Genomic DNA, 24,270 nt, shown 5'->3' with positions numbered 1-24,270 from the left:
TTTGCTCGGTTCTCACAGGTGCTTACAGCGTCTCTGGCCATGCCCAGCTTGAATTTTATCCCATCTTTCAGTGAAGCATTTCTTGGTCTTTGTAGCAGAGGGAAGAATTCCTCCTTCCACCAAACTGCTACAAAGTGACCTTGCACCCCATAGTACATACTGCTGGTTGTCTGTTTTTCTGATCTCTTTTTCTTTCCTTGGATTTATAAACTCCTTGGGTTTTACTCACTTGGAGTTTTCCATAGAATGTAATGTTTTGCTCTGTGATATTTTTGAAACTAAGTTTTTGCTGAAGGAAACTTTTGAAAGCAGTGGGGAAAATTCACAGACTGACATTAGCAGTTTCATTTTCTTAGCGATGTATTGACCCTGAATGATAAAATTAGTGTGGAAATATCATTGTCCTGAGTGCTGTGATACAATAGGCCATTGTGTGCGTGGTAGGGAACTGTGGGTCTGGGACATTAATTATATGGTATCCTAAAAAACTTCTTTAGTAGCTCTTGATTTCTTTTGAGTTCAATATCATTGCAAATCTATTAAAAAGACTAACATACCAGGACTGTGTTTCTGGGAAGTTGGAAAAGATGTATTTTCCCCTACTCTTCCCTCTAATTACAGCCCAAAACCTTGGATTTTATCTTAAAAGCAAACATAAGACTCTGGAAGGTGGCAAGGAGAAGGCAGATCCACTAGATACCTCGGGAATGTGTTTCAGGAAAAAACTCTAAACCCGAGTTTTTCCTCTGCTCTCACAGCGCCACAGCCATCATTGACACAGGAAACTCCTGTGAGCAAAGGTGTAGGGTTTTTCCCACACAGCGAGCAGTGGATACCAGCTGGGTGTCCTCCAGTTTAATTCTGCCACTATCTACCCGGAGGTAGCGTCTCATACCACAGGGTGAGGGCTCAGTCTCACAAGACCACCCCTTCCTTCCCCCTAGTTGCAATTCCAGGCATCTGGAATTTCTGATCCACCGGCTTCAGGTGGGGGTTCCCACGACCCCCTCTTTGGGTTCAATTAATTTGCTGGGAAACGGTTGCTTATGTTTGTTTACTAGTTATTAGACAGGATATTGCAAAGGATACAAATGAACAACCGCATGAAGAGACACATGGAGCAAGGTCTGGAAGGGGTGCCACGGAATTGGGGTGCCACAGAGTTGGGGTCCATGGAGTTGGGGTGCCACAGAGTTGGGGTGCCCTTGTGGCATGGGGGTGAGTTCTTCTTCACCTTCCTGTTGGCCTCCATGTGCTCGGCTTTCTGGGAGCTCCCTGAACCCTGTTTTCTGGGCTTCTTATGGAGACTTCATTGGTTGTCTGTGGTTGAGGCATGGGCATCATGTCAAAATGTGATTGGAAAGGCCGGGTGTGGTGGCTCAGGCCTGTCATCCCAGCAGTGTGGGAGGCCGAGGAGGGTAGATCACTTGAGGGCAGAAGTTCAAGACCAGCCCGGCCAACATGGCGAGACTCTGTCTCTACTAAAAATACAAAAATTAGCTGCGCTTGGTGGCGCGTGCCTGTAGTCCCAGCTACTCAGGAAGCTAAGGCAAGAGGGTCGTTCGAACCCAGGAGGCGGCAGAGGTTGCAGTGAGCTGAGATTGTGCCACTGCACTCCAGCCCGGGCAACAGAGCAAGACTCCATCTCAATTAAAAAAAAAAAAAATTTAAAAAAGTGTGATTGGATAAAAAGGGTGCAGTCTAAGCCCAGCAAGGCCTGTCTGTTCAGATTCCCCAGGCCTCTCTGCAGCATTCCTTCCTCTAGGGTATGGGGCAGGACCCTCTCTGGAAGGAGGGTCTAATGACCCACAATCAGATTAGAGTCCGGCCTGGGCCAGGTGAAAGGAGGACAGGAGAAGGTCAGAGAGAAAGATTTTGTTCCTGAGGCCTAAGGCACCCAACATTATAACAATAGATTGTAACAATGGCTGTAAGAATCATGAGCTAGGAACCGTGGATGAAAAGACACAGTGGTGAGTTCCCTGGATTCCAGATTCAGGGCTGAAGAAGCTAGAAATTCGGAAATGCCAAAGGGCACAGGCAAAATGAATCTGCATTCAAGAATTCAGCTTTTGTCTGAAATATTCCTTCCTGCTTAACCCAAGCTGATACAAATCAACACACTTAACTTTTAGTAGCTTATATTCTAACACAGACCAAGCTAAGCTTGTAGCTCCAAGCAAAGCATTTTGTAAATATTTGCTGATTTGTTTTGTGGACTCACAAGATGTTGATGGCAACGGATGTCTTTCCTCCCTCTGGCCTAACCGCTCTCCGCACACTGGTCTTAAGCCTCTGAAATAGCTCAGCTACCTACTGCTAGGGTTCTGCAAGGAAGTCAGGGTAGTGTCCTATGAAAAACTGGCCTGGGAAGTTTGGAATCATCACACACATGTTCAGGCCTCTGGGTTCTGTAGGGACCCAGCCCTTACCTGGCTGGAGCCCTGGGCTGTGAGAGCAGCAGGCATTTATCATGCTTCTGGGTGCCAGACATCACACTCAGTGCCTTCTGGCATTGTCCATTGTTCCGGCATCCACTTTGTGTGCTTGGTGTTATCCTCACCTCTCGGTGCAGATGAGGAAGCTGAGGCCCAGAGAGCCTAGGGAGCTTGCCACAGGTTGCACTCCAGGTTGGGGAGTGCAGATTTGAGGTGGGTTTTTGTCAAAGTCCACCCTTCCTGGCACTGAGCTGGTTAAGAGGCTACGATGGAGCCTGGACCCCTCACATTGGAGCAGTGCCCACCGACAGACCCCGCATAAAAAAGGAACAGAACAGACCTAACCAAGAAATCAGGTGAGCCCACCGCGCTCCCCTGGTGCCTTCATGAGGATGGAGGCAGGTGAGACTGAATTGTGGACATTTCCAGAATGACAAGAGTTTTTTTTTGTTTTTATTTTTGTTTTTGAGACAGTTTCATTCTCTTGCCCAGGCTGGAGTACAGTGGTGTGATCTCGGCTCACTGCAACCTCCACCTCCCAGCTTCAAGCAATTCTCCTGCCTCAGCCTCCCGAGAAGCTGGGACTACAGGTGCACACCACCACACCTGGCTAATTTTTGTATTTTTTGTAGAATTGGGGTTTCACCATGTTGGCCAGGCTGGTCTCGAACTCATGACCTCAAGTGATCTGCCCACCTGGGCCTCCCAAAGTGCTGGAATGACAGGTGTGAGCCACCGTGCCCGGCCGAATTATGGTGTTTTCTAATCCATAAAAGAAAAATTGTTGGATCAAAAAGATGTAGCATTCTAACTGAAGTTGCCTTGAGGATAACAGTGTCTTTTATTTTTGTAGTCTGTTGACCAGGTTTCCTATTTGTATTTTGGAAATTCTCAATTTTATTACTAAGAGCCTTGACGGCATAAGGAGTTGCTCTGGTGGTAGCTTCACAGTTATAGAATACCTGCTATGGGAAACTTTTTGCTCCAGGTTATATCTGAAATGCTTACCTATATTTTAAAGTAAGTGTTTAGATACAAAGAATAAATGGGACGGCCTATTTGCAATACTGTTGTGTAGGCTGATTAGCATTAGCTTGTGGGGTCATGCAGGCTTCCCAAGACTGAGGTTCCAGTCTACAGACTTTGGCCTTATAGCTTTGGCCTTAAATTATAGCCGATGCTTCCACAACACTTAATATGTGCCAGAGGCTCTGCAAAACGCTTCCCCATTTTAGCTCCTTTAATCCTCTCTGGCACCGTAGCAGGTAGCAAGGTTATTTTCCAGGAGTGGTGGAGTGGGGATCTGATCTGGGCAGACCTGTCCGAGGATTTATGCACTTAATCTCACCAGCCTGCTGTGTCCTTCGTAGAAGTGACTTGGATCCTAAAGTGAGAGTGGAACTGGAAAGGAATTGCTCCAAGTATGCATTCACTCACACAAGGTAATAAATGTACATCGGGCTACGTTCTATTTCGTGCATGGGGTGCCTGTGAACTAGAAAAGTCCTGCTGCACCCAACGATAGTAAATGAAAAACAGTTTCAACCTGTGGCCTGTCTCATCACTAACGAGATCAATGTGTTAAGATTCCTGTTAACGCTTTCCCCGTGTAGAATTAAGCGCACTTCATTCACATAGGAAGCTTGTTGCGCCTCGTGTCTGAGCTGCGCTTTCTCATTTATGCAGAGCCAGCTGATTCAGTGTGTTTGGGGCAGGGGTCCGTTCCCTTCCCTGACCTTGGCTGCTCTAGTTCAGGACAGTCTGGTTAGAGGAGGCGCCGTGTAGACCGCTGTGATTTGGCGCAACAGTCAGCTTCCTGGCCTTGACTGGCGGCATTCCAGGCTTCTGACATATGAGTCCTTGAGAAGGAGGAACACTTTCTATTGTTTGTGGTACAGAAGTTCAGCTTGGCCAGGCGTGGTGACTCACGCCTGTAATCCCAGCACTTCGGGAGACTCAGACGGGAGGATCCCTTGAAGTCAGAAGATAGGTACCAGCCAAGGCAACATAGCGAGACCCTGTCTCTACTAAGAATTGAAAAAAAATTGCCAGGCATGGTGGTGCACACCTGTAGGTTCAGCTACTGGGGAGGCTGAGGTGGGAGGATCACTTGAGTCTGGGAGTTTGAAGCTGCAGTGAGCTGTGACTGCACCACTGCACTCCAGCCTGGGCAACAGAGTGAGACCCTGTCTCAAAAACAAACAAACAAACAAACAAACAAACAAAAAACCCAAAAAACAAAAAAAAACAGAAGTTCAGCTTGTACTGTTCACAGATGCTCCAGGTCAGTTAAGATTTGTGAGCCTGGGTGTCACCCAGCACCATGCCATGACACACGCTTAGTGGCCCTGTCACACAGACCAAGGGTGGCCTGCAGAGCCGCTGAGTGCATCAATAAAAAATGAGGCATTTCTACTTAGAAATGGAAGACTCATGTGTGACTGTGCTTCCTTGTGGGTTGGAACTGCCTTTCGGGACGCTACCATCTCATGGCATAACTTGAAATGACTTATGTTGCCCAAATAGGTGAATTTAGGGTTGTACCTTTCCCTCACAGCTGTATTTGGGATCAGCAGGTTTTCTTTTTAGATGAATCAATTGGAACACTTTTAGAAAACAAAATGAAGATATGATCCTGTCTCTGAGTCTCAGTGATGTCTTCTTAAAACTGTAGTAATAAACCTTATTTCCAGGGACAGTTATGAAGCTTAAATAAGATGACAGATGTGCAGGGAGCCCAGCATGGTTCTCGACTCTCAGTAATGCAATGTCATCTTCTTTCTCCTGGCACATCATAGGTTCCCTTAGCTTTTGTAAAGGGTGATAAGGATTAAATGGCTGAGGCTTTTTTTTTGGTGCCTATCTCATGGGGTTTCTCTGCTATGTGAAGGAATCACTTTCAGAATTATGGATTGGAATGGCTCTGGTTGGACATTGACTTTTCATCTGCTTTGCTGTATGCTTGGTCCTGGCTTCTGGGTGAAGACTACAGGATCCACGGTGTTTCTGTGGAGTCAGATCATGAAACAGGAATGTAGAGCTCAGAAGTAAATGCAGCATTTTCCCCCACAGCAAGGCTCTAGTCATTAATTGCTTAATAATAGAGAACGAAGGACTGTAAAGAGGTCCTTAACATTACAGGGCATATTTTACAGACTCCTATTGTGCCCTTTTTATATGTTGCTTTGTATTTCCTTCTTTTTGAGGGGGAGTGCAGGAATTTTATCATCTTCCCAAGGTGGCACTGATGCACTTCTCTAGACTTGCCCAAGCTCTGGGGGCCCATGTGTCCACCTCAGTCACCACCTCAGCACAAGGATCTCCAAGCTCCTTCTAGTTTTAATATCCTGATGTGTGTAGAGTGAACACTCAGTGAGTGTGAACTTGCTCATTTATTCAGCACTTTTTGGAGGACTGCCTATAAATCAGATGCTCTGCTAAGCGTGGGCAAGTGGCAGTAGACAGAATACGCAGTCCAGTTGGGGAGACCGACCACAGACAAAGAGCATTCACAATACGATTTCTAACACTTGCTGTGAGGAAGAGAAGGGGGTGCTAGGATGGGCACTATTTTGGGAGACATAATACACTTATTTAATACTTTTTAAATTTTTATGAGTACATAGTAGGCGTATATATTTATGGGGTACATGAAATGTGTTGACATAGGCATGCAATGCATAATAATTGCATCGTGGAAAATGGGGTATCCATCCCTCAAACATTTATCCCTTGCGTTACAAACAACCCAGTTACACTCTTAGGTATTTTTTAATGGAGACTGTGTTAATCCGTGTTCATGCTGCTAATAAAGACATAACCGAGACTGGGAAGAAAAAGAGGTTTAATTGGACTTACAGTTCCACATGGCTGGGGAGACCTCAGAATCATGGTGGGAGGCAAAAGGCACTTCTTACATGGTGGCGGCAAGAGAAAATGAGGAAGAGGCAAAAGGCAGAAACCCCTGATAAAACCATCAGATCTCATGAGAGTTATTTACTACCACAAGAGTAGCACGGGAAAGACTATGCCCCCATGATTCAATTGCCTCCCTGTGGGTCCCTCCCACAACACGTGGGAATTCTGGGAGATACAATTCAAGTTGAGATTTGAACGGAGACACAGCCAAACCATATCAGAGACCTACTTGAGATTTGAGGGTGTGTGGTGCGTCACTTTCCCTCGGTGAGGCGCTTTACCTGTGTTTCCACACTCACTGTGGCACTCCTCTCTGGTTCTCCATGTGTCTTCCTAGATGTCACCCTCCACAGGCTCCAGTATTCCCGTCTGTCTGCGCCACACGTCTCTGTGCCTTGACTTCTTTGAGTTGGTTATGACCTAGGTCTGGCTCCTTCATTGCATGAGTTTAACGTGTCTTTATTTTTACATCTGTATTAGAGTCATGATTTTGCCCTTTTTGGAAAATTATTTTTTAACATGTGTCAAGGTAGAATTGCTTTAAAATCCCACTCATAGATTCAATGCAATCACTATCATAATTCCAATGGCATTTTTTACAGAAATAGAAAAAAATTCTAAAATTTATGTGGAACCACAGAAGACCCAAAATAGCCAGCAAAATTCTTGCTCAATTTTGAGCAATAATAAAGCTGGAAGCATCACACTGCCTGACTTCAAAATATGCTACAAAGCTATAGTAATCAAAACAGCATGACCTCAGCATGAAAACAGACACATTGACCAATGGAACAGGGTAGAGTGCCCAGAAACAAATCCACACGTTTACTGTTAGTTGATCTTTGACAAAGATGCCAAGAACCTTTGGGGGAAAGGACAGCCTCTTCAATAAATGGTACCAGGGAAACTGGATATCCATATGCACAACGAAACCAGACCCTTGTCTCACACCATATACAAAAATCAGGCTGGGTGCCTGTAATCCCAGCATTTTGGGAGGCTGACGTGGGTGGATCGCTTAAGTCAGGAGGAGTTTGAGACCAGCCTGGCCAACAAGGTGAAACCACATCTCTACTAAAAATACAAAAATTGGCCGGGTGTGGTGGCAGGTGCCTGTAATCCTGCTACTCAGGAGGCCAAGGCAGGAGAATCAGTTGAACCTGGGAGGCAGAGGTTGCAGTGAGCCGAGATCGCACCACTGTACTCCAGCCTGGGTGACAGAGTGAGACTCCGTCTCAAAAAAAAAAAAAAAAAAATAACCCACATTTGATTAAAGAGTCAAGCATAAGACCTGAAACTATAACTATTAGAAGAAAACATAAGAAAAAAGCTTTGCAGTATTGGTCTGGCTAATGATTCTTTTTTATGTGACTCCAGAAAGCACAGAGAACAAAAGCAAAAATAGACAAATGGGATTGCATCAAACCAAAAAGCTTCTGCAGAACAGAAGAAACAACCAACAGAATAAAGAGAGAACATCCAGAATGGGAGGAGATATTTGGAAAGCATACAGCTGATAAGGGATTAATATCCAAAATATATAAGGAACTCAAACAACTGAGTAACAAGAAAACAACCAGATTAAACAATGAGCAAAGGGCCAGGTGCCGTGGCTCTCACCTATAATCCCAGCACTTTGGGAGGCCGAGGTGTCAGAGGATCACTTGAGGCCAGAAGTTCAAGAACAGGCTGGGCAACATAGTGAGACCCTGTCTCTACAAAAAAATAAGAAAAATTAGCCAGGGGAGGTGGTGCACATCTGTAGTCCCACCTACGTGGGAGGCTGAGGCAGGAGGATCGCTTGAGTTTGAGGTTACAGTGAGCCAAGATCACACCACCGCACTCTAGCCTGGGTGACAGAGTGAGACTTTGTCTCTAAAATAAAAATAAAAAAAAATAAAATGAGCAAAGGTCCTGAACTGAATAGACATTTCTCAAAAGAAGACATACAAATGGCCAACAGGTATATGAAAAAATGTTCAATATGACTAATTGCAGAGACAGCCAAGTTAGCAGTACAGTGAGCTGTCAGGTCGCACCTGTTAGAATGGCTGTCATCAGAAAGACAAAGGGTAAGTGCTGGTGAGGATGTGGAGACAAGAGAACCCCGCACATTGCTGGTGGGAATGTGAACGGGTATGGCCGCGGTGGAAGACATGATGGTTCCTCAAAAAATTAAAACTAGAACAAATGATCCAGCAGTCCCACTGCTGGGTATCTGTCTAGAAGAAAGGAAATCAGTATTTCTCAGAGATGTCTGCACTCCCGTGTTCACAGTAGCCAAGATACAGAATCAACCTAAGCTTCCACTGATGTGCACGGATCAAGAAAATGTGGTAAATATACACCGTGGAGTATTATCCAAGCTTGGAAAAGGGAGAAATCCTGTTGTTTGTGAACCCGGAGGACATCATGGTAAGTGAAATAAACCAGATACCGAAAGACAAATACCACATAGTCTCACTGATGCCTGGCATCTGAACAAGTTGAACTCACTGAAGCAGAGTGGAATGGTGGTTACAAGGAGCTGGCAGGTGGGTGGGGAGAGGGAATTGGGGAGTTTTTAATCAAAGGCTACGAAGGTTCAGTTCTGCAGGCTGAATAAGTTCTGGAGGTCTAATGTAGAGCCCCAGGCAGGTGACTGTAGTTAACCAGTACCATGTGATAGGCTTGAAATTGGCTGAGAGGGTGGAGTTTCAATGTTCTGTCTGCACACCCATGGTAGCTATGTGCAGTGATAGATGTGTTAATTAGCTTAATAGGGTAATCATTTCATGATACATCAAAATATCATGTTGTACATCTGAAATATTTACAAATTTTGCTTGTCATTTATACCCCAGTAAAGCTGAGAATAAAATACAGCAAGCGTTCTGATTAAAAACAAAACAAAACTCGTCATCCTGCATGTTGTGCACATGTACCCTAAAACTTAAAGTATAATAATAATAAAATTAAAACAAAACAAAACAAAAACAAAACCAACAAACACCCTTATTATTTGGCAGTTCCTTCCCCAGGCTGTTTGCACCCCGTTCCTGCTGATGGTGGCCACTGGTTACTGTCTCCGTGTGTGAGCATCTGGGGTCTCTGATTCCAGATGTGTGAAATGTGGACACAGTGGGGAGAAAGAAATGCAACTGTGAGTATGTGTATGTGTGCATGGCATGTACGTGCATGTATGTGAGAGTGTGTGTGTGTGTGTGTGTGTGTGGCTGGACACTCCGCCTGGCACTTGAAGTAAACTCGCAGTCAGCTAGCCCTTAGGGAAGTCCCTGGAAGGAACACTGATTTGGTTAAAGGGATCAGATCCAGTTGGTGCAGGGACACTGAGGAAGCTGAGCCCCAGGCAGGCGAAGGGCTCTGGCCCAGAGAATTCCACTAATACCAAGATTAGGGCAGGCAGTTCCCTGCTAACTTGGCTGCTTTTCCTGAAAAATGAGAAGTCAGAAGGAATGGAGGAAGTTTTAAATACTTTCCAAATTGACATTGTCACTGGAAATCTTCTAGCGAATCTTGTGTTAATGAGAAGATAAGAACGAGGTGAGCTTTCATGTGGCAGTTGTATTGCTATTGTGCCTGGGCTGATAACAATTTCTGGATTGTTTGAAGACACTTCGTTCCCATGTGCTAAAGCTGGTGGCCTATTGTTTACTTAGCCAGGCACTTTTCTACAGCAGTTGCAAAAGCACATTCTAAACCTAACTAATTCCAAATCTGATTAACTCTGGCCTGTTACCCTGTGCCACAGACCCAGGCAGGAGTGATGTTCCTGAGGCCTGGGGGTCAGCTTTCACTGCTTGAGGAATCTGTTGCTGCGCCGTGACCGTGACCAGGTGGAGAGTATCAGAGGAAGGCAGGAGAGTGGTGAGGTGTGAAAAGATCAGCTGTCAGGTTTTACTTAGAGTGAGGGGTGGTCGGCTCTCACCTTGGGTTGATGAGAGGCTGAAGCGTGGCCGTCTCCTCCTCGGCAAGGTCCTCGGGCTGGCAGCAGCAGAACCCAGGACCCAGCCAGGCCTCCTGAGCCAGATTCTGTACTTTAACCCAACAGCCAGGTAACTCCCATTCCAGGGGCATGGGCAGCTGCGCGGGGCTTGCTGCAGCCCAGCAGAGACCAGCCGTGAGGGTCGGGGCAGTGGAGAGCATGCTCTTCCAGCTCCTCGCCTTCTTTGTAGACACTATTTTGCGTGAGAGAGATACGTATATATTCCATATATAATGTGGAGGTTTTTTATTGTGGTATAATATACATAACAAAATTTACTATTTTAACTTTTTTTTTTTTTTTGAGACGGAGTTTCACTCTCGTTGCCCAGGCTGGAGTGCAATGGCGCGATCGCAGCTCACTGCAACCTCCGCCTCCTGGGTTCAAGAGATTCTCCTGCCTCAGCCTCCCGAGTAGCTGGGATTAGAGGCACCCACCACTCCGCCTGGCTAATTTTGTATTTTTAGTAGAGACAGGGTTTCACCATGCTGGCCAGGCTGGTCTCGAACTCCTGACCTCAGGTGATCCACCTGCCTCGGCCTCCCAAAGTGCTGGGATTACAGGCATGAGCCACTGCGCCCGGCCTCCCTGTTTAGATTTAAAAAGTTTTCTTAATATGATATTTATAATTCAGTCTTGACTTTGAAACAGGTTAAAATGTGCTTTGAAAAGAGCTGAAATAATTTTAGTTTTACTTTATTTGGAGACATTAGCAAATACCTGCACTTTTATTTGATAATCTCATTCTAAACATTCGTTATTACAGGACAACAGAGTATCTCTTGAAGGTAAAGGAGATTGGATTACATATGCTGGCATGTGCCAGTGTGTGTTTTAAAGCTAAGTCTGTTATATACGTGTATTTTTTGGGACTTGCCTGTTTCTGTTAATATCGGAGTGTTAAAGAACATCTCTGAGTAATTTGGTTTTGTCATTGAACTATTTTTAGTACATTCATGTCTGAAGAGTGATGTGACTTGAGAACTAAGCTTCTTCCTGCTTTACATTCATCATTTTTCCAGAAGCCACGTAGTGGGCCACAGGTGGAACTACTCTACCTGCAGTTAGTGATGTGAGTGGTTCATGTGGCGTATGACACTTGCTTTATTTTTAGTTTATCCTTCAGATCATCAAGAAGAAACAACAGAAATGACACATGCAGATTTGGGTAAAAATGCATTGATGTGGCCGGGCGCGGTGGCTCATGCCTGTAATCCCAGCACCTTGGGAGGCTGAGGCGGGTGGATCACCTGAGGTCAGGAGTTCGAGACCAGCCTGGCCAACATGGTGATACCCCGTCTCTACTAAAAATACAAAAATTAGCCAGGCGTGGTGGCGGGTGCCTGTAATCCCGGTTACTTGGGAGGCAGAGGCAAGAGAATCGCTTGAGCCCGGGAAGCGGAGGTTGCAGTGAGCCGAGATTGCACCATTGCACTCCAGCCTGGGCAACAAGAGTGAGACTCCATCTCAAAAAAAAAAAACAAAAAACCCAAAAACAAAAACAAAAAACAAAAAATGCATTGATGTATATTTAAAGGTGAAAAATCCATTTTCCTGGAATAATTCTCCTCTGCCTCATATGTTGCAGTTCCGTTAACTGGAAATAGTTTTAGGTTTGGACTCTTTTTTTCAAAAAGGAAAAAAGCTTCATTTCGCGGGCAGGGGTTTGGATGGCTGTCGGTCAGTATTTGCCAAGCAGTCCTGGTAGTTGAGTCTCTGGATGTAGACAGTCATTAAGCAGGACTGCAATACTGATTTTTATTTTATTACCAATATAAACCCTTGGACTTGCTAGACTAGAAAAGTAATCATCCTCCTTTATGTCATAAAGCACAGCTATGTTTTTGAATGCCCTTTAATTGTCATAGACTATTCAGAACAAAATTAAAGCAACTATAAATGCAAGCAACTACATTGGATTACTGAATTTGAATTATTAGCTTATTTAAAAAATAAGGTCACCTAATCGCCTCCTTTCTTCCTGTGATTGATTAATTTGTCTTGAGGTTTTAGTTCTTTCTTCTGGCAGAAAAGCATTACTATTAGAGGGGTAGGGTTGTTGTCAACTCCCACAGTCATATCCGGCTGCTGGATGTTGGCTCAGAGTATTTTCTTGGTACAATTGAGCAGAGTTTTCATGAGATGTTTCCTGGATGGTGACAGGTGACCATTGTGGGGCTCTTGCCTGGCCAGGGACAGTGGAGGAAGCTTGGTCTCAGAGTAAGAACGTGAGGGAAGTGCACAGCTGAGAACACAGGATGGTTCTTTCACGGTCTCGCCCCTGCTGCCTTGCTGGGAGGAAACAGCCGTCCCCAGGGAGCTGGTTTTCTGGGAGTGGATTCAGGCATTTTGCTCTTGATGCATAGCTTGACTTTTGGGTTTGCTCAGCCTTTCTTTATTTCTTTTTCTTTTCTTTTCTTTTCTTTCTTTTTTTTTTTTTTTTTTTTTGAGAGAAGATCTCACCCAGGCTGGAGTGCAGTGGTGTGATCATAGCTCACTACAACCTCTGCCTCCTGGGCTCAGGTGATCCTCCCACCCCAACCTACCCAGTAGCTGGGACCACAGGGATGCACCACCACACCCTGCTAATTTTTGTATTTTTTGGAGAGACAAAGTCTCACCATGTTGCCCAGGCTGGTCTTGGACTCCTGAGCTCAAGCAATCCTCCCTCCTCTGCCTCCCAAAGTACTGGGATTACAGGCATGAGCCACCGTGCCTGGCCTATTTCTTTTAGATTAGGAAATACCAATAGTCTTTTTTCTTTTTCTTTTCTTTTCTTTCTTTCTTTCTTTTTTTTTTTTTTTTTTGAGACAAGGTCACGCTCTGTCACCCAGGCTGGAGTGCAGTGGCACAACCACGGCTCACTGCAGCCTTGACCTCCCAGGCTCAAGTGATCCTCCTGCCTCAGCCTCCCAAGTAGCTGGGCCTATAGGCGAACACCACCATGCCCACTGATTTTTGTATTTTCTGTAGAGATGTGGTTTTGCCATGTTGCCCAGACTGGTCTCAAACTCCTAGGCTGAAACGATCCGCCTGGCTTGGCCTTCATTCTTTTTTCTAACTCTTTTTTTCCTGATCCATCCTGGTGGAGGACCTGAAGCTGATAGTGTAGCATGGTTGTTGGGAATAGGAGCCCTGGGCTCTGCTTGCTGGAGTTCAAGGCCTGCCTCTTCCATTTGCTGCCCATGTGACCAGGGCCCCTGTGACTGGGGCCTGCATGCTTGTCTCATCTGGGCTGGGGGTGATGCACTGAGCCCCGCAGGGTCCTGGGAGCTGAACCGCTGAAGAGGCAATGCCTGCACATAGTGAGGGCTCAAGGGCGTCAGCTGTTTCTAAAAGCTGTTAATAGTGGCTGGACTCACTTTAGGAACCGGAATGTCATACATCCCAAGTCAGCGCCTGGCCCTGTTCTTCTGCTTGATTGAGGATGCAGCTCCTTATGTCTAGGAGATGGTGTTGGTCCCACCCTGAGGTTGGTCTGTTTATGATGAGACACTTTCCTCTTTATGAGTTTAGTGGCAGCTTCCTCTTCAAGGTGCGGACAATTGATGGCTTCTTTGGCTGGACAAATCATTCGTTTTTCTTTGATATCTTTTTCAGTGGTTACTGCCTCTTTCTTCTCACATATCTGAAGAAGGACAATGAACTGGACAACTTCTTGTTGTGTAAATTGGGTTAGAGGGCATTGCTTATTCCTTATACTGGTGGCATTAGGTTGATGTAAAAACAGTAAAGCGGCCGGGCGTGGTAGCTCATGCCTGTAATCCCAGCACCGTGGGAGGCCAATGTGGGAGGCCAATGTGGGAGGACTGCTTGAGCGCAGGAGTTCAAGACCAACCTGGGCAATAATAGTGAGACCCCATCTGTACCAAAAAAAAAATAAAAATAAAAATAAAAATTACCCAGGCGTAGTGGCGTGAGCCTGTAGTCCCAGCTACTTGGGAGTCTAAGGCAGAGGATTGTTTGAACCTGGGAGGTCACAGCTGCAATGAGCTACGATTGCACCACTGCACTCCAGCCTGGGTGACAGAGCGAGACCCTGTCTCACACAAAAAAAAACACTTGGACACAGGAAGGGGAACATCACATAGCGGGGCCTGTTGTGGGGTGGGGGGAGGGGGGAGGGAAAGCATTAGGAGATATACCTAATGTAAATGATGAGTTAATGGGTGCAGCACACCAACATGGCACATGTATACATATGTAGCAAACCTGCACGTTGTGCACATGTACCTAGAACTTAAAGTGTAATAAAAAAAAAATTCCCATTAAAAAAAAAAGTACAAGTAAAATAAACATAAAAACAACCCCCCCCCACCGCCCCAAAAAAAAGCCATTTTAGATATTCCTGTGCATGTGATTTCTGTGAGCTGTGACTTGTTTCAGGAAGCGAGCAGTTCTGCTGACGGGCTTGGAGGTGGCCCTGCCTCCTCCTCTCTGAACTCTGGTTGTCTGAGTTCAGTGTTCTCCGGCCCATCCTCACTGACTTCTCCTTTAGTGGGGTTCACTGAAGTTCATCATCATCTTGATTCTTCCCCGGCTTTCCTCGGGGAGAGGAAGTGGGGAGGCAACGGAAGCAGAAGCTTCTCTTGGCTGCCTGACTGTCACATGGACCTTGGTGAGAGGAGATATCATTCTTCCTGACTTTCGGTGCCTGTCTAGGGGGAGGCCATCCACCTGCCGCCCAGTCCATGCTTTAGTAGGGGTCTGAGTCACCAAGTTCCACAAAGTGGGAGGGCTTCAAACAGCAGAAGCTCATCCTCTCCCCATCCTGGAGGTAGGGTCTGAACTGGCGTCGGCAGGGCCGTGCACCTCAGGAGGCTCCAGGGAGAGGCTGTTCCCGCCACTGTCCAGCTCCTGACTGGTGCTGGCCGTCCTTGCCTGCGGAGCTGTGGCTCTCATCTCTGCCTCTGTTTCCCCATGGTCTCCTCCCCGGGGGTCTGCCTTCACATCGTCTTTGCCCCTGTGTCTCCGGGTGTCTTCTCTAATAAGGACACCAGTTAGATGTGATTAAGGGTCTGCCGTACTCCATGTGGTCACATTTTAGCTAATCACTTCTGCAGAGACCCTGTTTCCAAATGAGGCCACATTCATGGGTGCCAGAGATGAAGACTTGAATGTATATTTTTGAACCCATAATAATACATTTATGATTCCATTTTTAAACAGAAAGTGCTGTTTCCTGCCCTCTGGTTCACCTTCAAGGAGAGAAATGAAATCCATTTCTGTGTTGGAAGGCCTTGCGCGGCCGGAGCTTTGGGTACTGCTGCTGGGCTGAGAGCATGGTGTGGTCCAGTGGGCGCTCAGAGGCGCTGGGCCAGCCACTGCGTGGAAGGCCTGGGCCCAGCGTGCCGGGTGTGTGCGGTGCTTCACGGCTGCCTGTGAAAAGTTAGTCACTGCACAGGCATTTAATGGAAGGGCCCAAGCTGTGAGGCACTCAGAGCAGGCAGGAGGAGGAGAGGTGGAATCTAGGGAATGGGTTCCAATCTCGCCAGTAGAGTCTCTGAGCCTTGACTTGTAGATCTGCGAAAATGGAAAACAGAGACTTCCCAGAGTGGTTTAAGGATCCATGAAGACGTGACCCACGAAGTGGTTGTATGAATTAGCCTCATGTGTTATTTATTCGTTTCTGTAACTTCACGCCTCCTTCATGCCTGTTCCAAGCAGCCCGTGAGTGTCTGCTGTGGTCCAGGAACTGTACCTGGTGTTCAGGGTGGGTTCGGGTTGGGGGTCTCCGGCTCTGAGCAGAGTCTGCTCTGTGCCATCCAGCATGGTAGCCACTGGCCACACGTGGCTTGGACTTAGAGATGTGGCTAGTTCTAGGTGAGATGTGTGCTTTTCAAAATGAGGAAGAATTCTGAATTTAAATTTCTCACTACATTCTCCATCTCTGCCAGTAAAAGATGTTCCTGGGCTGGGCGTGGTGGCTCAGGCCTGTAATCCCAGCACTTTAGAAGGGCAAAGCGGGGGGATCACTTGAGCTCAGGAGTTTGAGACCAGGCTGGGCAACTTAGTGAGACCTCATCTCTACTAAAAATTAAAAAATTAGCCAGGCGTGGTGGTACACACCTGTAGTCCCACCTGCTTGGGAGGCTGAGGTGGGAGGATCGCTTGAGCCCAGGAGGATGAGGTTGCAGTGAGCCATGATTGAGCCACTGCACTCCAGCCTGGGTGACAGAGCGAGACCCTGTCTCTGTTTCCACAAAAAAATATTGCTGGATATGTCTTCTGCTCTTCGTTTTGGAAATCATATTTTTCCTATTTTACTGTTTAGTTGCTGAACAGCTGGCAGGAGAGGACTTGTGCATTTATGATGAGGTCCAGTTTTGTGGAGTTCACACTCTTTTGAAGCCTGCTAGGAAGCCCCCTGGGGTGCACAGTAGAGGGTGTTCATATTGGATCAGCATTTGGAAAGATAACTGCCCGGGCAAGGAACCCTCAATGAAGAAGTGACCAGTTTGGGTCAAAGTGATCCTTGCAGTTTTCTGAAAAGCCCCTGTCATGCCACTTCCCCTGCCCTGGACATTTGTTTGGCTGAGGGGCAAGGCAGGGGTCGGGGCGTGGTCGGCACCCTTGACCGGCACACTCGTACATCACGGTGGCAGCACCTCTTTGTAGGGGCTCGGCCTCAGGGGACAGCCTGAAAATGGGGGAGCTGTACAGGCCTCTCTGGAGAGCCTCAGCTTTGCAGACAGCCTCCATCCCAGGGAAGCAAGTGAGCAGTCCACGTGAATAAGGCAGCCAGGCTTCCCCAGAGAAACAGACCTGACAGAGGGTGTGTGAGCTCAGGCAAGGTTGCTTTGTTGCTGTCTGGGGGCTGAATTCCTTCGTGTCTGGAAGAGCTCAGTCTTTACTTCTCAGGCCATCAGCTGATTAGACGAGGCCTACCACATCACAGAGCACTGTCTGCTTTCTCACATCCACTGATGTAAATGCTGATCCCACCTAAAAAACACCTTCCCAGCCATGTCCAGGCTAGTGCAGGACCAAACTGCTGGGCACCGGGGCCCGACCAGATACAGTTCCCCATCACGGTGGGTGGAGGCTGGCAAGCCATTGGCTCTCTGGAGGCTTTGGTGCATGTGGGTTCTGGGGGGAGGGCCTGCCCACTGCGTGGGGCCCTTGCCTGCTAGCTCTCCACTTTCCACGTACTGGTGGGGGCAGGTGTGTCCAGCCAGGCCCTGTGCTGGCTCCAGGCAGCCCAGCTCCATTCATGCACCCAGGGACTCTTGTGGGCCTTCCTTACTGCACTAAAATCAACAAACAATTGAATACAGTGTTGGTTATAGTAGTCAATTATTTATTCTTTTCTAATGCTCCTGAGGGGATGGTTGCTTCCACATCCCATTCTCTCTTTTTGAGATAGGGTCTTGCTCTGCTGCCCGGGCTAGAGTGCAGTGGCAGTATCCCAGCTCACTGCAGCCCAACCTCCTGGGCTTAAGCGATCCTCCTGCCTCAGCCTCCTCAGAGTAGCTGGGACTACAGGCACATACCATCATACCCAGCTCATTTTTAAATTTTTTTTTGTAGAGATAGGGACTCACTGTGTCACCCAGGCTGGTCTCAAACTCAGGGGCTCAAGGGATCCTCCCACATCAGCCTTCTGAAGTGCTAGGATTACAGGTATGAACCACTGTGCCTGGCCTCCACGCACCATTATTTAACCAAGTTCACTATCGGTTTTAAAAAAACAAACCTAGAGGGAATGTAGATCATGCCTGTGGAGATGGTCCCATGACTCTCAACTTTAGCCAAAACTCATCAACTTTACAAAATAGAACTAAAATAACCTTTTGGCTCGTATTTGTGGATGCAACCTGCAAACACTGGAGAAAGCATGTCGTGGTGTTTTTGAACAATCTCTGATGGGAAGTGTGTCACAGCTCCTCTAGGCTGCGCTGCTGCTGGTGCCATTGCTGGAGTTGCTTATTTTGCTCCCATCTCTGGTCTGGGAATATGCACTTTTCCTTTCCTCAGGTTGTCACATCGATGTTTTGTGAGCTCCCTGCCAGGGGGCTGTCCGATCTGGCAAGGCAGAGAACTCATCTTAAAAGTTTCTGTTCTCCGCTGGGCACAGTGGCTCATGCCTGTGACCCCAGCACTTTGGGAGGCCAAGTTGGGAATATAGCATGAACCCAGGAGTTCAAGACCAGCCTGGGTAGCATAGTAAGTCCCCATCTCTACACAAACATAAAAGAAATTAGCTGGGTGTAGTGGTATGCACCTGTGGTCCCAGCTACTCGGGAGGCTGAGTTGGGAGGAACACTTAAGCCCAGAAGATGGAGGCTGCATTGAGCCATGATCGTACCACTGCACTTCAGCCTGGGTGACAGAGCAAGACTCTGTCTCAAAAAAATAATAATTAAATAGGCTGGGCGTGGTGCCTCGCGCCTGTAATCCCAGCATTTTGGGAGTCCAAGGTGGGTGGATCACTTGAGGTCAGGAGTTTGAGACCAGCCTGGCCAACATGGTGAAACCCTGTCCCTACTAATAGTACAAAAATTAGCTGGGCTTGGTGGTGTGTGCCTGTAATCCCAGCTACTAGGGAGGCTTAGGCAGGAGAATTGCTTGAACCCTGGACGTGGAGTTTGCAGTGAGCTGAGATTGCATCACTGCACTCCAGCCTGGGCAACAGAGCAAGACTCTGTCTCAAGAAAAAGTAAATAAATAAATAATGAAAGTTCCTGTTGTCTCAGTGTTTGCATTTCCTGGTAGGGCTCACTTTTCAATGAATTGAAATACCAAGCTTTCTAATTCTTACATTTCAATAGCTGCCCTTTTATTTCCCACTTTCACTGGGTAAATTGCTGATTTTCACTCCTGGTGCACCTGGTATTCACCTGGGGCGCTTTTAAAGCTGATACAAATGCCAGCCCCACTCTTGCCCTGGCAGCTGGGTCAGGGTCTGAGCATCAGTATTTTTTAAGTCTCCCCACCCCATGCTTAAGATGTGAGCCAAGGGTGTCCGTGGCTTCTGATGGCTATCTCAACCCACTCTTATTTAAACCAATAGTGAAAACGACACAACACTTGGGGTAGAAGCCTGGCTGTGTTTGGCTTTGGGAAGGCTGAAGAGTGAAATGGAAAGCACTTGGGCAGTTTTTGGTTCCGCAACAGTGAATCAGGATTACTGTGGGTGCTGACTTCCCTTCCCCTTCTGCCTGAACCCTGGGCCATGTCAGCTCCACTGATCTGGCAACATCCGGAGCACCCCCAGGACCAGGGAGAAGGTCATCATCTGAGAATAAGAAACGTAGAAGATTGGTCCACTGCAAAAGCGCCCAGTCGGCCCCAGGAGGTGGTGTGTAAATGGAGGGATGATGAGACCCGGGACATGGGCAGCCCTGGGACGGTGGCATCCATCCTTAGGTTTGGGAGGAATCTCACGATTTATGGAACAAGCACTTCTATTACAGGGCCTAATGTGCTGGGTGCAGCTCCAGCCAGTTCACCTGTGTGCAGATTCTGCTTTCTCAGCCACCCTTTGGCAGGTGTAACCCACATTTTAGTGACGGGGAAACTGAGGTACCGCATGTCTAAGTGACTTGCCCAAGGTCACACGGTGGGGATTTGAATGTAGTCTGTCTCTAGAGTGGGGGCTGTTTACCAGAACGCTCTGCAGTCCCTGCCCAGCGAATTAGCCGGCACTTCCAGGATAGTTCTCTGCGTAAAATTTGGAGCTCCTGGGAAGGTGGCTGCATTCTGCAAATGCCTGTGCTCTGTGGGATCACAGGGTGGAGGCAGGCTTTTCTCCTGCCCAGCAGCCCACCTCAAAGGGGCCCTAGGCCCCTTCCTCTGCCTCTGGGGGTGGTTAGACCAGACTCCCTGGGGTGCCTGTTGCCAGCGTGCTTCTCAGGGCTCCACCGCTCCTGTGTCTGTTGCCCACCTCCTTCTCCATCTGTGCCTCAGTTCCTCCTCCTGTAAAACATGGGAAAGGGAAGCCTGCACGAGCATAATAAACCCTGAGGACTCACACTGTGCTGGCCATGCTTCTTCCCATAGCTAATGCAGCGCTTCCTATCCTTGATACAGGACGGGATCGTGGAAGTTAACAGCTCATTCCCTGCTATAAATTACGAAGTCCTGTTCTGGCTTCCATTTCTCTTGTTTAGACAGAACTTAAACCTCATAAAGTGAGTGGAATTAGCTCTTTAGGTGAACAGACACAATTGTGTTTTTAGATCTGTAAATTCGAGAAACAAACCTGGTGGGACCTGCCTCCTGAGGGCCCTGTGTCTGTGTAGAGGTGGGGTGGGTGGGACCTACTTCCCCAGGGTCCTGTGTCTGTGTAGAGGTGGAGCGGGTGGGACCTACTTCCCTAGGGCCCTGTGTCTGCGTAGAGGTGGGGCGGGTGGGACCTACTTCCCCAGGGTCCTGTGTCTGTGTAGAGGTGGGGCGGGTGGGACCTACTTCCCCAGGGTCCTGTGTCTGTAGAGGTGGGGCGGGTGGGACCTACTTCCCCAGGGTCCTGTGTCTGTGTAGAGGTGGGGCGGGTGGGACCTACTTCCCCAGGGTCCTGTGTCTGTGTAGAGGTGGGGCGGGTGGGACCTACTTCCCCAGGGTCCTGTGTCTGTGTAGAGGTGGGGCGGGTGGGACCTACTTCCCTAGGGCCCTGTGTCTGCGTAGAGGTGGGGCGGGTGGGACCTGCCTCCCCGGGGCCCTGTGTCTGCGTAGAGGTGGGGCGGGTGGGACCTGCCTCCCCGGGGCCCTGTGTCTGCGTAGAGGTGGGGCGGGTGGGACCTGCCTCCCCGGGGCCCTGTGTCTGCGTAGAGGTGGGGCGGGTGGGACCTGCCTCCCCGGGGCCCTGTGTCTGCGTAGAGGTGGGGCGGGTGGGACCTGCCTCCCCGGGGCCCTGTGTCTGTGTAGAGGTGGGGTGGTGGGACCTGCCTCCCCGGGGCCCTGTGTCTGTGTAGAGGTGGGGTGGTGGGACCTGCCTCCCCAGGGCCCTGTCTGCAGTGAGCAGGGCGTCTTCATTTCTGGCTGCTCTGAACTCACGGTTAAAGTCCTGGTCAGTTTTGCTGCATTTCAGTAGTTTGTCCAACAGTGTGGCTGATCAGACATTGGAGGCGTTCTTACAGATTCAGGTTTCCCTCACCACCAGGGGTAATTGACCTCTTCGTCTGTATGTGTTGGTGACATAAAGCTGAGCAGATCACTTACGGATTTGCTACATAGACGAGTAATAATTCCTGGACAAGTCGAACCTAGAGCCCCAGGCTCCGGTCACTCACCCATCCTCCCGTCTGCTTGGCCTGGAGACAGCCCAGGCAAAAAGGCGGGAGAGTCTGGCGGAAGGCTGGGCTCCTTCCTCAGGCTTGAACCCGTGCCCCCAGCCCTGATGATGTCAGGCCCGTGTTGGTAGTGGCCACACAGGCTCGGCAGCCTGGCTCCGTTCACCAGACCAGGGTTGGCAGCTCACTGACCCTTGGCTGCATTGGTTGAATTTGAACCAATTTGTGATTTTTCTCTTTTGCCCTGTTTCTGGGGCAGCCTGGGGCTCTGGCATCCCCAGAATTGGACCTGAGGCTGTTTATTTCTCCAGGAAAGTCCAGGTAAACCACCAGAACTCTCAGTGCTTTGGCTTCACGATTGGTACTGACGGACTCCGGTCTGGGGGAGAAGGCAATAGAGATAGAGATGCCTGATCCTGTTTCCAGGGAGAGGGACTTTGAAGTACTCAGTTTAAGCCCATACTTGTAGACAGGAAATCAATATTCTGAGAGATACAGGGGCTGACATGTGTATGGGGTTGGCAGCAGGGGGCTGACGGCCCGGCTCAGAGCACATTCACAAACTTCCAGAAAACGCGTGAGGGTCCTTGGATTCAAATACACTGTGAATCTGTCAAAGCCAAGTGCAAAAGGTCAAGTTGTAGTGACACCATTTTATTTTCATTGTCTTATGTTCACTCTCATGCCTTACATACCAGAGCCCCTACTCAAATTCAATTAGGATTAAATTCAGAACTTCTGTTCCCTGCGGGACTGGCCCTTCTTGGTGTGGACAATGCGCTCATTGAGAGCAGCCTGACTCTTCCATTAGCAATCCTAAAAGCTATACATTATCTCCAAAGCAGTATTTTAGAATTTCAAATATGAAAACTGCTTGCTTGTAAATTCTTTAGCTGGGGCAACTGCATTTAATTGGTTTGCATTCATTAATGGGTAGATAACAGATTATAGGGTTCAAGCAACAATTCTTACTTTTTTCTGGCTAGCATTTGTGATTCTTCAGTTCCTGTTTCCTTTCATTACTAAGATCTTTCCTTTTATATTATTATTTCCTTTTTTAGTTTTTTAAAGGCAAATCAGGCATTTTTATCTGGAATGGAAAACTATTTTAGGCATAGGCATCAACACGGTTCTCCCTTTGGCCCTAGTGAACTATGTAACAGAGACTTGAAAACCATTCTTCCAGGGTAGCTGGAGTGCCCCTGACTCCGCATTCCCATAGTCACACTCTTGTGAAATCTGGTGGGTAGAAGCTGATGACGTTTTTAGCTCATGTAAAAACCTCATGATGCCTGGACTGTTATCTATGGGATTAGTGTCCCTGAAACAAAAGTCTTAGTACTGTGGTAATGACGAAGAAGCATTTTTCTTTCTTTTCTGTTTTTTGTTTTTTTTTTTTTTGAGATGGAGTTTCACTCTTGCCCAGGCTGGAGTGCAGTGGCGCTATCTCAGCTCACCGCAACCTCCGCCTCCCAGGTTCAAGCAGTTCTCCTGCCTCAGCCTCCCAAGTAGCTGGGATTATAGGCACATGCCACCATGCCTGGCTAATTTTGTATTTTTAGTAGAGATGGGTTTTCTCTGCGTTGGTCAGGCTGGTCTCGAACTCCCGAACTCAGGTGATCCGCCCACCCCGGCGTCCCAAAGTGCTGGGATTCCAGGCATGAGTCTCCGGCCTTTTTCTTTCCTTTATTATTACCATTTTAAATTTATTTTAGATATGGGGTCTCACTGTTGCTCAGGCTGGAGTGCAGTGGCATGATCATAGCTTATTGCAGCCTCGAACTCCTTGGCTCAAGCAGTCTTCCCTCCTCAGCCTCCCGAGTAGCTGGGACTACAGGCATGCGTCACCATGCCTGGCTAATTAAAGTGTATGTGTGTGTGTGTGTGTGTGTGTGTGTGTGTGTGTGTGTGTGTATTTGTAGAGATAGGAGCCTTGCTATGCTGCCCAAGCTGGGCTCCAACTCCTGGCCTCAAGCAATCCTCCTGCCCTAGCCTGTTCTTTTTGAAGCTAATGCCTGCTGTATTGGGTTTTAAAGGCTTTTGATCATCATCTTCTGTAGTGGGAGAATGACTGTGGATTCCGGGGACACTGTCTGATTTCTGCCTGCTGGGGTCCAGTCCAGCTTGACTGGAAACGGATTGACTTCTCAGTCTGAAGCTGACCCCTGGTAGGCGTGCGGAAGGGAGGAATGTTGCCCTTCAGGTGCTGAATTCCAGAGCACAAGCTGCTTGCCAACAGGGTGGCTCTGTCGCCCAAACAACAGCATTCCCAGGCTGGCTTTTCCCAGAAGAGGGAGGTGACCCGGGTAGCTCTCGCACTTTGACCCTCAGACTGGCAGCAGGGCACATTCTTCTGACTCCTACCGGAGCTGGTCTGGGCTCAGCTCCCAGCTCGCTTTCCCTCCACATCCCCAAAGGGCACACTGTCGGCTTTGCTGAAGGGGGAGCTGGAGTCCACGCTCGGGGCCTGGGAGACCACAGTGGTCAGTAGACAGGTCTGTCTGGCTCTTCTCACAGGACATGAGTGTGTGTCTCTGTGGGCGCCTCTCTCCAGGGTTGCCCAAGGGGTGACCAGCCTGCCTCAAAATCCAGGCAGCATCGCCCAGCAAGGTTTGAGGACTTGGCGTCATCAGAATGTGTGGCCATTTCAGAAAGATTGGGGATGGGAATGGGATGAAATTTGGTTGTGCTTCTTGGC

General features: G+C 48.1%; 1 protein-coding gene across 1 annotated transcript in view, besides 4 other annotated features; it reads left to right on the top strand.

Moving 5' to 3' along the window:
- RAB20 (RAB20, member RAS oncogene family) overlaps positions 1–24,270 on the top strand; it is a 38,657-nt gene that overhangs the window by 10,336 nt on the left and 4,051 nt on the right. The window lies entirely within an intron of this gene.
- Positions 12,504–12,553: a silencer, noted in NCBI's record as "silent region_5502". NCBI's record gives its function as "represses an Ori minimal core promoter by ATAC-STARR-seq in GM12878 lymphoblastoid cells {active_cell/tissue: GM12878}" and the evidence as "EXISTENCE:reporter gene assay evidence [ECO:0000049][PMID:35858748]".
- Positions 16,409–17,191: an enhancer, noted in NCBI's record as "H3K4me1 hESC enhancer chr13:111186543-111187325 (GRCh37/hg19 assembly coordinates)". NCBI's record gives its function as "activates a minimal SCP1, AML or CMV promoter by ChIP-STARR-seq in naive H9 embryonic stem cells {active_cell/tissue: H9 hESC(naive)}" and the evidence as "EXISTENCE:reporter gene assay evidence [ECO:0000049][PMID:30033119]".
- Positions 20,013–20,629: an enhancer, noted in NCBI's record as "H3K27ac-H3K4me1 hESC enhancer chr13:111183105-111183721 (GRCh37/hg19 assembly coordinates)". NCBI's record gives its function as "activates a minimal SCP1, AML or CMV promoter by ChIP-STARR-seq in naive H9 embryonic stem cells {active_cell/tissue: H9 hESC(naive)}" and the evidence as "EXISTENCE:reporter gene assay evidence [ECO:0000049][PMID:30033119]".
- Positions 23,631–23,925: a silencer, noted in NCBI's record as "tiled region #8993; K562 Repressive non-DNase unmatched - State 13:Ctcf". NCBI's record gives its function as "represses a minimal TATA promoter and a strong SV40 promoter by Sharpr-MPRA in K562 cells {active_cell/tissue: K562}" and the evidence as "EXISTENCE:reporter gene assay evidence [ECO:0000049][PMID:27701403]".

Source organism: Homo sapiens, chromosome 13 (genome assembly GCF_000001405.40).
Source record: "Homo sapiens chromosome 13, GRCh38.p14 Primary Assembly".
NCBI lineage: Eukaryota > Metazoa > Chordata > Mammalia > Primates > Hominidae > Homo > Homo sapiens.
This window is presented reverse-complemented; position numbering and strand designations above follow the sequence as displayed.